At 42.2% G+C, this 17,988-nt stretch overlaps 3 annotated features.

Annotated features, from left to right (window-relative positions):
- Window positions 5,411-5,460: an enhancer, noted in NCBI's record as "active region_13192". NCBI's record gives its function as "activates an Ori minimal core promoter by ATAC-STARR-seq in GM12878 lymphoblastoid cells {active_cell/tissue: GM12878}" and the evidence as "EXISTENCE:reporter gene assay evidence [ECO:0000049][PMID:35858748]".
- Window positions 16,524-17,025: an enhancer, noted in NCBI's record as "H3K4me1 hESC enhancer chr18:24301517-24302018 (GRCh37/hg19 assembly coordinates)". NCBI's record gives its function as "activates a minimal SCP1, AML or CMV promoter by ChIP-STARR-seq in naive H9 embryonic stem cells {active_cell/tissue: H9 hESC(naive)}" and the evidence as "EXISTENCE:reporter gene assay evidence [ECO:0000049][PMID:30033119]".
- Window positions 17,026-17,525: an enhancer, noted in NCBI's record as "H3K4me1 hESC enhancer chr18:24302019-24302518 (GRCh37/hg19 assembly coordinates)". NCBI's record gives its function as "activates a minimal SCP1, AML or CMV promoter by ChIP-STARR-seq in naive H9 embryonic stem cells {active_cell/tissue: H9 hESC(naive)}" and the evidence as "EXISTENCE:reporter gene assay evidence [ECO:0000049][PMID:30033119]".

The raw sequence follows: 17,988 nt of genomic DNA on the forward strand, positions 1-17,988 counted from the left end.
CTGACCTCAGGTGATCCACCTGCCTCAGCCTCCCAAAATGCTGGGATTACAGGAGTGAGCCACCACGCCAGGCCATGGTCTAGCATTCTCAAGCTGGAGCGTGTCCCTCCTCATTCCAACTAATTGCAACTCTTGGGTGATCAAAGAGTCTTGCTTATTGTATTTGGTAGTGGTTTCTGCCGAGACACTTAGAACGGATTCTCTAGAGTCAGAGCAGCTGGGTCTGTAAAGGGCAGTTGTTGATGGCACAGCAACTTGCTGGTGGAACAGCAAGAATTCTTGAATTCTTCACTCACTCTGAACCAGGGTCTGAAGGTGGATCATGTGTAGAGTGATCACATAATTTGTGGTCCAAGCTGAGATAATTTTGAGAATGAATGGAAGTGCTATGAATAATGACACCAGTGCAACAGGGGTCCCTGAGATTGCCGTTCTGTTCTTCCTCACATGTGCCTGATCTTTTTAGGGGTAGTGTTCATTGATTAGCTGACAGTTTCTTCTTCCTTTTTCTTTTTTTGGTTTAAAGACAGAGTCTCACTCTGTCACCTAGGCTGGATTGCAGTGGCACAATCCTAGTTCACTGCAGCCTTGAATTCCTGGGCTCAAGCAATCCTCCCATCTCAGCCTCCTGAGTACTTGCAACTACAGGCAAGCCACCACTACACTCAGCTAACTTTTAAACATTTTTTATAGGGATGGGGTCCTGCTATGTTGCCCAGGGTGGTCTTCAACACTTGAGGACTGAATTCAAGCAATCCTCCCACCATGGCCTTTCAAAGTGCAAGGATTATAGGTGTGAGCCACATCACTCAGCCTGACAGTTTTTTTATTTTCTCCCAGGAAAACCTAGGAAGTTTTCATGTGAATCCCATGCCTGCTGAACTGCTCAGATAAAACAAAAATAGTAGCTAACATTTACATAGCACTTACCATATGTTAAACACTGTTCTATGTGTTTTGCATTTGTTAACTTATTCAATCTTCCCTATCCCATGAGATTGGTATTCTATTTTTGCTTCCATTTTACAGATGGAAAAATAGGAACACAGAGGTTAAATAGCTTGTCTAAGCAGCAGAGCCAGAATTTCAACCTAAGAGGCTCCAGAGCATGTGCATGTGAACACTGCACCATGTTGCCTCTGCCCTGCAGCCTTATAATTTAGTTCCAACCAACATTTATTGAGGACCCGCTACATGCCTGGATGTGTGCTGGGTACTAGTGGTGCCAAGTCTAATGAACATGATGCCTGCTATGTTTCAGTTCCCCATCAGGGACAATGAATGAGGCCTGCTCTTGTACTGGGAAAATAATCTATAGGGTGTCCTGTGGGGAAGGCCAGGTATACCATCATGCAACATGCAGATTTATATTCAGCTCACAGTTTATCTTATTTGGATGGCCACTGCTGAATTACCTTAGTTCTCAGTTCTCAGACTTTGGTGTTATGAGTTGTCCTTTGAACCCATAATTAAAATCTTTCAATCAGAGGCAGTGCTCCCAAAGCAATGTGCACTGTTTATGAAACTACCAAGGGAATGTTCTCAATAGGCAAGGAAGGTTAATGAGAGCACACTGGTGGCTTCGTTTGTGGCTGCCTCTTGGCAACCCCATGCTGTTACCCCCATCTTGTTTTGTACACCAAACATCTTGTTTTGGGGACTTTGCAGAAAGAAGATGGGAGCAGACCCTCCAGGGACAACATTTTTTCAATTTATTTCCTTAAGAAGTATGATGTGTAGGATGGCGATGTGCAATTCTGACTACCTTAATATGGTTTCCTCTAAGAATTCATGATGTTGAAACAGAGGCATTTGAATAAAACAAGGGGAAGGTCTTCATCTTGGCGAGGTACGAGGGCTTTTTTTTTTTTTTTTTTTTGGCATGAGCACACCCTTGAGAAACAGAGCGCTTATTGTTCAGCATATCAGGGCTCTGTGCCGGTCAAGGAAATGCTGATGAAGTACTTATGCTCGGTGGAGGGGTGAGGAGTGGGAGGTCCTCATGAGATGGGTTTATTTAGCCTGCCCTTCCAGATAGCCTTCCAATCGTGTAAAGGCGGTGGTGTGTGTGTGCATGCCTGTGTGTTTAAAATTAGAAAAATCACAGAAATGTACAAGGAGCCCTCGTGCCCTGACTGTCCCCAGTTCATGGAATTGTTTGCCTGCTTTGGTTCACATCGTGCTGCACTATGTACAACGCACACGAACATACCCTGTCTCGTCTGAATGAAAAACTTTGAAGGAAGTTAGGATGTTAAAACAGTGTGTTTCCAAATAGGGCATTTCTCAAGCACAGTTTTCCCTAAATGAAGAAGTATGTAGTGTGTTGAAGCTAACCTGCTATCAAACCAAATTGATCATTGTTCATTGAGTGCCCACCCGATGAGGGTCCATGTATTGAGCACTCGGTAGGGGTGAGGGATTGGCTGGTGATTAAGTGGATCATACCACCTTATACTGACTTACAGAGGTGGGTGATCATGAGCCATTTTACAGATAGGGAGAGTGAGACACAGAGAAAGTAGACAGCTTTTTCTAAAGTAGTAGAACCAGGATCCAAGCCCAAGCTGTTCAGGCAGCAAAAACTTGCCATGGGACTACCATGTTTTTTCCTGTGCATGCTGAAGGGACCCTTAGAGGAAGTTCCCACAGATATGTTCACATTCAAATTAATGAACTTTACACCTGGGATTGGAAATTCCTAGAGAATAGGGTAATGTGTGTGGGGTGTGTGTGTGTGTGTGTGTGTGTGTGTGTGTGTGAAAGAGTGAGAGAGAGACAGAGATTTGCTAATACAGATTAAACGTAGTCATAAATCTTAAAAGATTTATTCTCCACACTTTATTTTATTTTATTTTTGAGGCAGGGTCTAACTCTGTTGCCCAGGCTGGAGTGAAGTGGTGTGATCATGGCTCATTGCAACCTCGACCACCCCAGGCTCAGGTGATCCTCCTTAGTAGCTGGGACTACAGATGGGCACCATCAAGCCCAGCTAATTATTTTTATTTGTTATTGTAGAGACAGGTTTTTGCCATGTTGCCTAGGCTGGTCTTAAACTCCTAGGCTCAAGCAATCCTCCTGCCTTGGCCTCCCAAAGTGTTAGGATTACAGGTGTGAGCCATCTCATCTAGCCCTCCACATTTTATTATAAAATTTTTCATACAGACAACAAAGATGAATGAATTATATAGTGAACACTTATATACAATGGAGTGTCTGCTATTAATATTTTACTATAGCTATTTTTATCTATCTAGCTATTATCTATCAATCATCTATTTATCTGTCTAATTTATCTATTCATCTATCCATCTATGAGTCTATATTTTTGATGCATTTCAAAATAAATTGCAGACATAAATACACTTAACCCTAAATACTTCATAATATGCATATATAACTAAAGTTTAACACGTTTACAGTTTTTTTTTTCTTTTGATGTAAGATGTACATGCAATGAAATGCACAGGTCTTGAGTACAGATTTACAGAGTTTTGATAAATACTGTGTAACCCAAATTTCTCTCAAGTTATAAAATATAACTATCACCCCAGAAGGTTCCCTCACACCCTTTCCCAGTCAATTTCTGCCTCTCCCCAGCCCCACCCCTCCAGAGACAACCAGTGTTCTGACTTTTCCACCAATGACTCTTTTGTGTGAGGCTTCTTCCACTTTGCATAACATTTTGACATTTATCCATATTGCTGTGGGTAATGTTGTTTGTTCCTTTTACTTGCTGATTGATATTTCATTGTATGAATATTCTATAGTTTGTTTATTCATTTTTTTGTTGATGGACTTTTTCTAGTTTTTGGATTCCATGGATAAAGCTGTTCTGAATACTGTATAAATCTTTTTGTAAAGATATGTTTTTGTTGCTCTTGGGTAAATGCCAAGAAGTAGAATTGCTGGGACAAAGGGTAGATATATGTTTAGTTGTATAAGTAACTATCAGAACTTGTCACAGTGGTTCCGCCTTTCCGGTCCCACCCACAACGTATGGTGTTGCTCCATACCCCTGTCGGTGTTTAGAGTTGTCTGTCCTTTTTAATTTAGCCATTCTGGTGGGTGTCTAGGTAGAAAATTAAAGTTGATGGCAATGGCAATAGTTATGATAGAGTGATAGATACCTCTCCATAGCAAATCACAGTCGCTATTCCTTAGATTTCACTTGGAAGCTCATCATTTTGGCTGTTGGGTCTGCTCTTAACTCTCTAAGTACCCACTCTAATGTTTTCTGATTGACAGATGGAAGTGCTCCCAGGCAGTACTGATTTTCAGGCTAATGCTCCTACTACAATCAGCTCACTTAGGGCTTCTTTGTGTAGTCTGGATGCTCAGCTTTAACCCTTTGACATTTCTTTGCTTTACTTCTTTGTCAAACTTCTTAAGCCAGATTGTGATTTCTCTTCTTTTTCAGAGTTTTCACCTGGCAAGAGGTTGATGATTTAAATGTCAAAAGAGGCAGACTCCAGATAAAATGCTGAACAAACAATTTTGAGGACTTAGACCTTTCTTTTCTGCCATTACTACTTCTCAAGCTTCTTCTGATTCCCAGAGAATGGGATGGAAAAAGTGAGGTAGGGTTTGGAAGGACGGGCCTCTGCTCTTATGTGTGCAGCTATGCTTCTGGGTCTCTTCATTCGTGTTGATTGAGTGCCTTGAATTTCTGGGGCCTCAGTTTCCTCACTTGTAGAACAGGGAGACTGGAACAAATGACATTTAGGGCTTTCTGTCTTTCTGAAATTTCAAAACTAACTTTCTGTTTTGTTAGAAGTTAAGAAATTTCTTAAAGCTTGGAGGTGAAGCTATTGCTTTAAAAATTTTTAAGTGATTCTTTAATATTTCCTACACCTTCTCCAATGGCTTAATAATAACCTGATATATTCATGGAAACAGGTCTCACTTATATATTTTGATTTAAGGGTTTCTTTAATTATGCCATTTACTGTTTTCAGATGCTGCGGTTTCACTCTGGTAGGATTCAGTCTCAAACTGCAGAGGTACTGGGTAAGCTGGTATTTATTTTACCTTTGTTTTGGGATTCTTTCAGACAGACTGGATGTTTGCACTGGACTCATTGATTTTCTCCTCCCCCCCACTTACATTGTCATTCTATGCTATTCAGTTGTATTTTATAATTGGGTGGTGGCAGTAATGAGAAAGAAGAGTATGAGAAATGATGTTTAGGTGGGCTGCAGTCTCTGTCTGTAGGCAATCATTGTGAAGCAGGAAGGAAGGGGATGGGAATAGCTAGAGAGAATTGGCTTAAGGGGAAATAGCCCAAATCTCAGTTAAAACAAGATAAGGGTCGAAGAGATAGTATCTACTGATAAAGGTGTGTTCCCTTGCACTGCCACTAATGCGCGGGAGCATTAAATGTAAGGGAGATTTTCTGGGGTTGTTATTCCCTGCAGTCTCAGGAAGAGAAAGTATCCCAGTCACAGAGGAAACCTTCAACTACAGACAAACCACAGTCCCCAAATCCTCTCAAGCTATAAGGTTTCAAGCACAAAATTCTTGAGCAAACACACCAGGTGCCTCTCTGCATTGATTGTGATTTTTGGTGCTAAACAGAGAGCATTGCAGATGATGCTGAAGGTCAAATGAAGGTGGAGAAACCGCAAAACAGCATGACACACCACCCAACTGCAAGCTAATTGGGAAGGAAATGGTTTCAAACTGACAGACTGTGGCCTGATAACCGAAATCTCATAGGGACAAAAGGTTCGTGTCATTTAAAGGGGTAGCTTTGCCTATTTAAATTGTGCAAACAAAAGAAATGAAAACCCCCTCCTGGGATGGGAAGTTCTATTAGCAGATATTACCATCCTTGCTTTTATGCCCTTCTGTGTCACAAGCCCTGAACATGTGCTGCGTGTCCTCAGGCATTCATTGGTTAATTTACTTATTCAAAGTAAGGCAACAACAACAAAAAAGCAACAGAAAAACCCCAAACAAATTACATACTGGGGCACAGACAGCATTAAGATGCAGTGCACAATTTTGATATGTGGGCTTTTAAAAGAAATGTGTTTGGTCTGAAATTGTACATATGTTAAACTCTGGAGAAAGTAAGACGCCTCCTACGGTGGTTCCTCTGGGAATTGAAAGAAAAAATTCTTTGAAGCTATGACTATATTGAGAACCAGAGGTATTTGATATAATATCAGGTACTCCATTGTGGCCAACAACAGTCAATTTGGGCTTGAGCTTAATCAATGTTCCAGTAAAGGCACAGGAGAAGGCCAATGGTTCTATCATATGGATATGGTAGAAGTTAATTATATACTTAATTATATCCTTTAGTTTTGAAATTTTTATGGAATTACTTCCAAAATAACCTTGTGTAATATATTCCCTTATATTTTAAAGCTGAATTGTAATGAGTGAAATAATACAAAATAATTAATACTTTAAACTTTGCACTTAGTTGAGTCTTCAAAAGAAACCATTCGACAATCTATGATGACAATACTTTGGGGTTGACAAGGCCTACATTTTTCTAATGGGAATATTAAAGTCTAGAAAGATTAATGAACATATTCATGTCATGAAAGAAGCTGAGGTAGGGTTCCAACCAACCTTTTTCTCTTGTCTCAAAGATTAATTAATGAGTTTTTTTCTGTCATGGACTATGATAGTACCCATGTATTTTGTGTATCTTAATGTATTTAGTTCAGCATCTGTGACATCATAATATTTAACTTTGGTTTGATGACAAGTACTTGTGTTTAAAAGAAATAAATATGAGCTAGGGTAAGAAAATTGTAAATTCACAGTTACTTCCCATTTTCTGCTTCTGAATAGAACATTCTTTCCAGAGCAATACTACTACTAATTCTAATAAAAACGAAACAAACTTAAAGTAAAAAAAAAGACTTGTTGCTATCGTAAAAAAAATGAGACAATTTCCTTTGTGATTTATCTTAATTACGTAATCATTGCTTCATAAGATTTCCCAAACTTGAGAGCATTAGACTCAAGAAACCCAAAGTGACATGTAATATTTATTGTATTTAAAGGACTTTGCCATTCAGTTTAGCAGGCATGACAGGTCCATGGCACTTATGGTGCCAGCTCTGGTCCATTTGAAGTTATCAATTGACCTGCAGAACATTTAGAAACATACCAGTGATTGGTAAGTAAGCTTTTCTTGGGTAGCTATGATTTGGATGGCTGGCATGTGAATGCTAGCATTCCCATGAGAAATACAGGTTACTAGGCAAATTGAGTTTTATTAAACTCTGAACTCTGAGAGAGTACCAGCTCTACATGCAAAAAAATAGTTATTTGAGGGAAAACTTTCCTGTCCTAAATTTCTCTCCTACCAATTTATCATAGTAGCAGAAATGACCAGTATTCACAGCCATTTCTTAGGTTTAAGGCTCTCTGTCCAGAAGGTCTCCATTAAAATGCAAATATGTTACTCAGAAAGGGCTACTCATCAATCCATTTGCACTTCAGGAAGGATTAGTTTATCAGATCAGAGGAAAGAAAATAAGACCCCAAGGAATAGGAGATAGAAAGCCCTCTTTTCTGATTGGAAAAGAGGCTGGGTAAAGTATTTTCAACAGGCCCTTTGCTGTCTTGACTATGGGGCCTTTGTGAATTTATCTTCTATTGCTTTAAATATACCCTTGCTGCCATTGAAATTCAACTCTGCCTCAACTGTCCACTTCCATTCTCATCTTTTCTCTGCAGTATTTTCTGAGCTACCTAGGAAGAAGTAAGCTCTCCTCCATCTGAATCCCTCATGTTCATTACCTGTATCATTCATTAGTCAAATCTTGTCTTTGGGCTGGTGTATGGCTCATGCCTGTAATCCCAGCACTTTGGTAAGCAGAGCTGGGAGGATCTCTCGAAGACAGGAGTTCAAGGTTGCAGTGAGCTGATTGTGCCACTGCACTCCAGCATGGTTGACATAGTGAGACTCTGCCTCTGAAAAAAAAAAAAAAAAGAAAAAAATCCAGGTGCAGTGGCTCATGCCTGTAATCCCAGTGCTTTGGGAGGCTGATGCTGGAGGAGCACTTGAGCCCAGGAGTTCGAGACCAGCCAGGGCAACATAGTGAGACCCCTGGCCCTATTTTTAAAAAGTTAAAAAAAACCTAAAAAAGTAAAAAGGAAAATAAAAAAAACCCTGCTCTTTGTTGTAGATATTCTTTCATTTGTATACATCTTATTCACCAACTTTATAGTCAGCTCCTGGAGTGCTCAGGAACCAAGTTAGCGATCTGAGGGAAGAGAGAGGCTGACTTGGGTAAGAGTGGAGAGCAGTGACTGCTGCCTACTCCTGAAACATCCTGGATTCTGTCATGATGCTTTTACCTGGATTCTTCCCTTTGCCTCTTTCCTTTGGAATAGGGACTTTCTGGCTTTGGTTTTGGTTTCAATGTTCAGGTAGTTCTTAACTCCTTGATCCAGAGGCCACACGCATTGTTACTCATCAAGCCCTATATCACTGCAGGGCCATTTTGCTAGTAGGGTGGCTGCTCCTTCATTCTAGTAGGCAGGTCTGTGCAATGAATGGATGCAGGTACAAGTACCACTCTGGAAATCACTATACCTCTGGTTCCTTGGTCATAAAAAGGGGTATTCTGGCTCTAGTAGGACACTACGTATCGGGTTCTGGCTTGCAGATCAATGCCGTGACAGAATCATGTCATTGGAAAATAATCCAACTTCTGGTTAGCTGGTATAACTACTCAACTAACCCAAGACCTGGTTAAAAAAAAAGTGAAGAATAGGGACCAGGAGACAGGAAGATCAGTCAGCTGGTTACAAAATTCTGGATGCAATAAGCTTTGATAGGAAGCCTGTGTTGTTGATGCATTATTTGTAAAAGTTCTTACCTGGGTCATACGGCCATGGCCCTCTTCAGCTGATTATATAGTAGGGTGTTGATACCTTATACTTCTTAATATTCTGTTAGATCACTCAAGATTGTTTGGTTGCATGCAAGACAATGACTTGGGTAACCTAACTAAAGAGAACATTTAAGGGCTTCGTAAATAAAAAGCTAAGGATAAAACTTTAGATGCAGCTTAATCCAATACTCCAAATGCCATTAGAGCCATCTCTCTCCCATGTTCACTTCTCCTCTTTTCTGGGTTGATGTTATTCTCAGGCCCAAAGATAAACACCATCAGTGTCTGGCTTATGTGGTTCTTACAGCACATGCTTGTGTAGCAGAAGGAAAATACTCTTTGTCACTCTCTGAATCTTCATAGCAATCCCTAGAAAGGGCTCTCATTGGTCTTACTGGGGTCACATAGTTGTTTATGCCGATAGGCCAGCCTGACTTGCAGGTCTACCATTTGCTGAGGACAGTGTTTTCTTTTGATTGACAACCCTGCCAGACTGTAGGGAATAGGCAAGAGGCAGTCTTACAAAGAAACTGATACAAGGAACCAACAAAGTAACAATGTCCAAATCGCCCCACAAATGTCTTCACCTTATAGATACTTAACTAATGTGTGTTGATAATGATGATGAAGTGTTTGCAGAAGAAGGAAGACTAGGGATCCAAAAAGGGGGATTCTGGGCATCTGGGGGCACAAGAGGCTGCCGCTGGGGGTGTGGGAAAGGTCAACGGCACTGAAAATGAGAAAAATTTTGCTCCAAAAGGAGGCTGGGAGCTAGGTACAGTGGCTCACGCCTATAATCCCATCACTTTGGGAGGCTGAGGTGGGAATTCGAGACCAGCCTGGGCAACATAGTGAGACCTGTTTCTACAAAAAACCAACCCAACCCAAACCAAAACAACCAAAAAGAGGCTTGAGTGAGGGATGTTGCTCATAGTGAAGATCCGACGTTTTTTATTTCACACTTTTGCCTGTGGCTGACGCTGACTGACGGGAAAGTATTTGCTGAACCAAATGACTCTATAAAGATAACATGCTTTCCAGCAGTTTCCTTTTCGGGGGGATGGGGTGACATGGCACACTTTCTGGTTTTGATGAATCACCCCAGATAGCAGGAGGCTTTCGTTTGCTTATATAATAGATCAATTTCAAGGTCTCAAACTGTGTATTATAATTAGCAATGCAAACCTCCAGAGCATCATCTCTTACTCTAAAGAAAATATTGTGTAGATCTAGTAGAGTATTCTCATGAGCTTTATTTTTCCTCACCCCTCTACTGAGTTCTTTCAGTGTCCAAGCTGACTGAGAAAGCCACTCTTTAGAAAGTAGAATCTGATGTTGAGATCTCTTTATTAATAAGTATAGGCCCAATGGTTGCAGAATTCTCTTCTATGTTTAATGGCCCTTTATTAATTAGTCCTCAGTATCATAGAGAGAATGAAAATGAGACTATGGTTCTATGGGAGGAAGAAAAAAAACCTCTGTTGGGACAATCTGAAGTATTGAGACTCACTTTTTTTTTTTTTTTTTTTCCCGAGACAGAGTCTTGCTGTGTCACCCAGGCTGGAGTGCAGTGGTGCGATCTCAGCTCACTGTAACCTCTGCCTCCTGGGTCCAAACAATTCTCCTGCCTCAGCCTCCTGAGTAGCTGGGATTACAGGTACCCACCACCACGCCTGGCTAGTTTTTTGTATTTTTAGTAGAGAGGGGGTTTCACCATGTTGGCCAGGCTGGTCTCGAACTCCTAATCTTGTGATCCGCCCACCTCAGCCTCCCAAAGTGCTGGGATACAGGCTTGAGCCACCACGCCTTGCCTTCTTATTTTTCTTTCTTTTTTTTTTTTTTTTTTGAGATGGAATATTGTTCTGTCGCCCAGGCTGGAGTGCAGTAGCGCGATCTCGGCTCACTGCAACCTCTGCCTCCCAGGTTCAAGCAATTCCCCTGCCTCAGCCTCCCGAGTAGCTGGGATTACAGGCATGCACCACCACACCTGGCTAATTTTGTATTTTGTATTCACCATTTTAGCCAGGCTGGTCTCGAACTCCTGACCTCAGGTAATCAGCCTGCCTTGGCCTCCCAAAGTGCTAGGATTACAGGTGTGAGCCACCGCGCCCGGCCTCACTTCTCTCTTGTTGGAGCTCTCAGGAAAGTGGATGCTTACTCTTCTCCACCAGTTAAAAGTAAGAGTAAGTTCTGGAATGGGATGAGTCCCCATGAATGTGGAGCCAATCTGGAGGAGAGCAGAGTCAAGAGATAGAGAAAGGGACACTGAATCTTTGGTGACATTTTTGAAGCCCTGATCAAGCCTTCCTAAAGTCTACTTCTGTGTGCTAATTATGTCCCTTTCTCATAAGCTAGTTTGAGCTGGTTTTTCTCTTACTCTCATATCAAGAGTTCTGATAGTCACAACATATGACAATAACCTTCACCCATCAAAGAGATGCTATAATGGTGAGGAATGGTTTCATGAGTTAAGACCACTAAGATAAGCATTGGAGGTCCAGCATTTACTTTCCTCTAATGATACTCCTTACTTTTTCTTGACTTTCATATCGCTAGGGTCCCATTCTGTGTGAACCTGCAAAAAAAAGACCTTAATTAGTGAAATTTCGTATCTAGGTTGCAGTGTGTTCAGAGAGGAATGTGCTCGATGCAGGTGTTAGGAGAAGTGTATATTGGTCATCTTGAGTGTAGAATTTCTGCAAATAAGAGCTGACTCTGCAGAAGCAGTGTGCTGGGTTAAAAAGAGCCCTGGGCAGGAGGCAGGAGAGAATGGGGTTGTGCCTCTATTAGCTTGTGACTTGGGGATAAGGAAGTTAAGTGGCCAGGGCTCAGCTTTCTCATTTATAAAACGAAGGGCCTGAGTGAAATGGTTTGGAAGATCCTTCCAGCTCGGAAGATGTATGACTTAATGAATTGAAGCACCCAGCCAGCCCTTTCAGGGGAGTGGGAGGCTTCTTAGCCTCCTAGGATGCCTCTGATGTGGGGCGCCCCGTTGGAAGGAGGTTTCCAGTTTTCAGTGGCTCACTTCAGAATGGGTAGACGGAGTAGTAATGAGCTTTACATCTGCATTCAGTGGCTGCTCAATTTTTAATTTAATGTGTATTATTTTATTTTTCATTTTTTTGAGACAGGGTCTCACTCTGTTACCCAGGCTGGAGTGCAGTGGTGCGATTATAACTCACTGCAGGCTCCAATTCCTGGGCTGAAGCCCAAGATTAAATGCAGCTGCTATTTTATGAGAGGAGAAAAATTACTGTGGGTGAACCCCCTTCCCTCATTCATTAATTTGAGGCAAAGAGTCTGAAGGGTTAGCCTATTTGAAAGAGCACTAAGACTTGTGTGAAGTCAAAAAGGAAGTGAGTGCCAAGGGCCCCTGACACTTTGCCCAGGGCCAGCTCAGGATAAGGACAGATAGCTGGGAGCTGGAGAGACTGTCACCTGCTTCTGGGCTCTGCTGAGGGCTGCCTTCCCCGCACCTGTGCATTAGGAATGCTGGGTCCCCCCACAGAGTGACATCCTTGCTGTGAGCAGCGGAAGCAGCAGGAGCTGGCAAAGGCGCTCTTCAAGAAGGCTTTTTTTTCTTCTTTTTTTTTTTTTGAGATAGGGACAGGGTCTCACTGTGTCTTCTAGGCTGGGGTGCTGTGGTGAGATTGCATGATCATAGCTCAGCTCACTGCAGACTCAAACTACTGGGCTCAAGTGATCCTTCTGCCTAAGCCTCCTGAATAGCTGGAACTACAGGCGTGTGCCATCATACCTGTCCAGTTTTTAAATTTTTTTTTTTTTTTAACAGAGATGGGTTCTCACTGTGTTGCCCAGGCTGTTCTCAAACTGTTGGCCTCAAGTGAGCCTCCTGCCTCTGCCTCACAAAGCACTGGGATTATAGGTATAAGCCACCACGTATAGCTCTTTTGTTTTTTCTTTTTAAGGATGGTGTTTCTTCTTTTTTTTTGTTTGTATAAATTTAAAGGATAGGCCAGGCGTGGTGGCTCACGCCTGTAATCCCAGCACTTTGGGAGGCTGAGGCAGGTGAATCACTTGAGGCCAGGAGTTACCAGCCTGGCCAACATGGTGAAACCCTGTCTCTACTAATAATACAAAACTTAGCCAGGCAGGGTGGTGCATGCTTGTAGTCCCAGCTACTGGGGAGGCTGAGGCATGAGAATTGCTTAAACCCAGGAGGCGGAGGTTGCAGTGAGCCGAGATTATACCACTGCACTTTAGCCTGGGCGACAGAGTGAGACTCTGTCTCAAAAAAAAAAAAAAAAAAAAAAAAATTAAAGGGCACAAGTGCAGTTTTGTTACATGGATATATTGGATAGTGGCGAAGTCTGAGTTTTGATCTTAACCATCACCCCAATAGTGTATCTTGTACCCATTAAGTAATTTCTCACAGTTTACCCCACTCCCACCCTTCTGCATCTCCAATATCTATTATTCCACACTCTACGTCCATGTCTACACATTATTCTTTTTTTTTTATGGCTGAGTATATTCCATTCTGAGGCTCTTCCTGGGCTGTGACTCTCAGGGTGGCAGGATGCAGGATCCTCATCAGCATCTTGATTAGCCACAGCCATTCATCTCACTTTTTAAATTGAGATATAATTTCCATATTGTGAAAGTCACCACATTAAAGTGTACAATCCAGCAGTTTTAGTTTATTCACAAGACTGTCCAATCATCAGCACTATCTAATTCCAGAACATTTTCATCACCCCAAAAAGAAATCTTGTACCCACTAGCAGTCACTCCTCCTTCCTGCCCTGACATCTGCTAATTTACTTTCTGTCTGCAGATTTGCCTACTTTGGACTTTCATATAAATGGAATCATACAATCTATGCTCTTTTGTGTTTGACTTCCCTCATGTTCATCCATGTTGTAGGATGTATCAGCACTCTATTCCTTTTTATGGCTGAATAATATTTCTTTGTATGGATATATCACATTTGATTTGTCCATTCATCATTTGATGGACATCTGGGTTGATTCTGCTCTGGGGCTATTATGAATAATGCTGTCATTCAATAAAATGCTTTATTGAACATTTTTGTTCAATAAAGGTTTTTATTTCTCTGGGTACAGTCTTAGGATTGGGATTGCTGGGCCATGTGGTAATTACATTTAACTTTTTTTTTTTTTGAGACAGAGTCTCACTCTGTTGCCCAGGCTGGAGTACAGTTGCGCGATCTCGGCTCACTGCAACCTCTGCCTCCCAGGTTCAAGCAATTCTCCTGCCTCAGCTTCCTGAGTAGCTGGGATTACAGTTGCCCACCACCATGCCTGGCTAATTTTTGTATGTTTAGTAGAGATGGGGTTTCACTATGTTGGCCAGGCTGGTCTTGAACTTCTGACCTCAGGTGATTTGCCTGCCTCGGCCTCCAAAGTGCTGGGATTATAGGTGTGAGCCACCGCGCCCAGCCACGTTTAACTTTTTAAAGAACTGCCAAACTCTTTTTCATATCATTTGTCTCTTTTTAACTGCAGGGGCACAAAGAAAAATGGAAATTGCTGTCACCTTTGGCTGGAAAGGATGGTGCTATCATGTTGTTTTTTATGTATCTCCCTTATAGCACATTCTTTGCTCTCTGAGGTTATAGTCAATAGTGAGCTGGAAAGAATTTCCACAATGAAATTGGAAAGGCCTGGAACAGTGCCTTAAATTTTCTGAATCCTTTGTTTTCTCATCTGTAAAATGTGTCCAGGATTGCTGTGAGTCGTGAACAAGACAACAGTCACAGAGCTCTTGGCAGGGGCCCAGTGCTAAGTGGGAATTGACTCAATGCTATGCTCCTTGACCCTCTCCAAGCAAGGGATGGTGTCTTTGCTCTCTGCGTGCTCAGCACCTGGCAAGGGTCCTGACACTAAAGAGCTTGTTCAATAGTTGTTCAATGGATGAATCCATGATGAGGGGATGCGTGAAAGCATCATGAGCAAGAAAATGCCTGCATATAGTAGGTGTTCAATACATGTTAGGCAATGGGATGAATGTATTAAAAAGGGCATTAAAACTGCAGGAAAAATGCTATTCTTAACAGAAGCTCCCAACAGAAATATTTTTCTTGGCATTTGGGAGACTCTGCCTAAGATCACTCATAGGGAACATATGTACAGCTGTCTCTTCCCCTTTGAAATTAATTGGTCTTTGCTCAAGCTTCTGTCTGTCTCCATAGAGGAGGAAGTGCCTTCTTCTTTTTTATGGAGTAATAATCACATGACATTTTCCTGTCTCTCATCATTGGGAGCTGAGCAGTGGGAGGGCCAGAGAAAGCCTGTCTGACCTGTCTGAATGATCCTGTTTGCTGCTTTTATGCCCTGGCATCCCGGGCCATGCTGGGATGCCATTCTGGACATGCCAGGGAGAGCCTGGCACACAAGGAGATAAGACAGTTTAGTTTAACACAAATTGAATGATTCCAGCCTCAAGTCCCAATCAAAGAGATTTACTGTGTTTTTAAAAAGACACGAATGTTGACTTGACTAGTGAAAAGATGCATGGAGGCTGCACCAAGCAAGGAGCCTTATAGGAACCATTAAATCAATGTGGCTACAGCATATCTTAGTTGTGATCCCTGAGAAATATAAATCAACCTTGTACTCTGAGATTAAGATATGCTCTCCAGATAGCTGGCACTTTTAAGAATGGCACAAGTTTTACGTTAAAAGACCTTAAAATGCACAAAGATGTATCAATAAGAGCCGGGGCAAATTTCCGTTTATGAACGAATAATTTTCTCTTATTGTTTACAGAGGTCAGGCAAAGTGCATTTATTTATGTAACTCAGGCAGAAGCATCCTGTTGAGGGGAAGGTGAGAAGGAGTGGGGGATCCTGGATTTTTACAGATGGTCTGTCCTTATTGATCATGTTCAAATGCTTGAGTCCCTGTTTCATTTTCTCTGGGAAGAGAGGACTCACTTATCAATTCACCACAAAATACACAGCATAGCATGGGTTGGGCATGCCCTTCTGGTGACAAGGAGCTTGTATGCTGGGCTGATGGTGAGAATGAGGTGTCTTTTTGGGGAGTTTTACGGGCTGTGTTGGATGATCTTATATGCGTAACCCCTCTATGGTGATCATTTCTTACGGGGAGAAAATGTGGGGCTGAAGGTGAAACAAATTGCTCTTTGTCCAAGAAGGTTACTGCACTTTTGTAAATAACACTTCAAATTGAGTGGGACAACATGGAACACCTGCCTGGTATGGGGAATAGGGAGCTGAGATTATAGGTTCACGAGGGTTTTTATTTTTATTTTTTGCCACTTTGGAAGAGTTCACTATGTTTGACCTTGGACAAGTCACTTCATCTCTCTGGGGCTCTGTTTCTTCTCCCCAGTAAGAGCATCTATTAATCAGTGTTTTCCAAATTGCTCTGTGAGAAGACCTAGGTTTTGTCAGATAATTCTGTGGCAGCTGGGGATGGGGATGGAGGCAGGTGGATGGGGCTCTGGAGCCCCAGACTCTCCTTTAAAACAGTTTTGCTTTTCCTGTTCTATACTTTAGCACTCACTCAGTGGTGTTATTTGCAAAATGAGATATCCTACTAAAAAATATTGAAAACCCACTGGACTTGTTTGTCTCTTACATTTCTTTTTCACTTTAAAATTTGGAGCCCTGCATCCCTAGGCTTTCCCTGCTCCCCAGGGTCCTTTCTTTGTGCTGGGGGAGGTGAGTTGTCAAAATGAGGCTGTGGACCACCAAGCCTTAGCTCAGTGTCACTGTGAGAGCCCATTTCTCTAATTCAGGACCTGCCACAAATACAGAGAGGCTCAACCCACGGAAGGGGAGCTGAGGAGCCTGCCAGCTCTCATTACAAGTTTCAAGCATTCTGATGACCTTATTTAGGAATAGGTGAGTCTCTTCATCTGGCCGTTAAGTCCCATGAACCCAGAAACTTGTCACTCTTTTAGGATTTCGTAAAAGAAATGGCTGCATGTCTCACAAAAGAGGCCTCCAGAGTGGTATGAGCAGGCTATTTTTTTGCTTAAAATATATTGCCTGATAGCCTGAAGGCCGGCTCAGGAAGAGGGCTGGGGAGGCAGGGCAACACCCTGTAACTGGCTGCTTAGTGTTTATGCTGATGAAGTGACCATCTGCATCAAATAATTATAAGCGGTCTCCCCTGACTGATCTCCATGTGCTGACACAGACTGAGAGGAGGCATCCCCTTTACGGCCGCTGCAGCCCGGGGCGGGAGGCTGAGGAGGAGATCATGTGTACTCCTCCACTTCAAGGCACACAACCTGCTGAGTGGACAGGTGCTGGCAGTGTGATGTCCATGGGCAATGAAGCCTGCCTGTCCTCCGAGCTGACATCTATATCTCCATCGATCTGGATTTCAAAACTGACACAACATAAGGAATGTCACTCTCTATTACTCCATATTCACATTCATCTCCATTGCATTGGAAGTCCTCTGAGGAAATATCTTGATCACAACTGCCCTCTTCTTTCAGCTGAACAGGATAAGCCACTGCAGTGGGGCAGTGGTGTGTGTTATCAACCTTCTGGTTTTGTCTCCTGGTTGTGGGTGCTGTCCAGCATTTGCTAGAATGGTGAAATGATTGCAAATTGTTTTTAGGGTTTCATAATTCTGGCCAAGTCCAGTTTTTCCTTTGTTAGTGAAATAGAGTTGGCATTTAGATCTGATATTTGGATGCGTTTGTGCATGGCAAGTTTCATTTGTTAACTTTCAGAATAATTAATGTCACTTTGGAACCTGGATACCAGCACAGTGCAAGTATAACTCAGCTCTGCCCATGCAACTCACTCTTGTCTCAGGTGTTCTGACTTTGGCTCCCTGACAATTCTTTCTCTGGCACTTTCTCCAGTCCTGAGAAAACCTCTGGCAGGGCAACTGCAGGCCTGACTGGGCAGACATCATCCGGTGAGTGTTCGTGGTGCAATTTTGTACAACTAGAAGCAGAGAACCCACTTCTATTTGCTGAGAGGAGCTAAGAAAATCTTTTGAGATTTTGAATTTGTGTTTTGTGACTGAGAGATGATGTCAAATGTACTTCCATTTGTGTTTTAAGGCAGAATTTTAGAAGGTCACTGCAGGGGAGGGGTTTTCTTATGTACTGGATGGCAGTTTCATTGCTTTTAAATAAAAACACG

Source organism: Homo sapiens, chromosome 18 (assembly GCF_000001405.40).
Source record: "Homo sapiens chromosome 18, GRCh38.p14 Primary Assembly".
Classification (NCBI taxonomy): domain Eukaryota; kingdom Metazoa; phylum Chordata; class Mammalia; order Primates; family Hominidae; genus Homo; species Homo sapiens.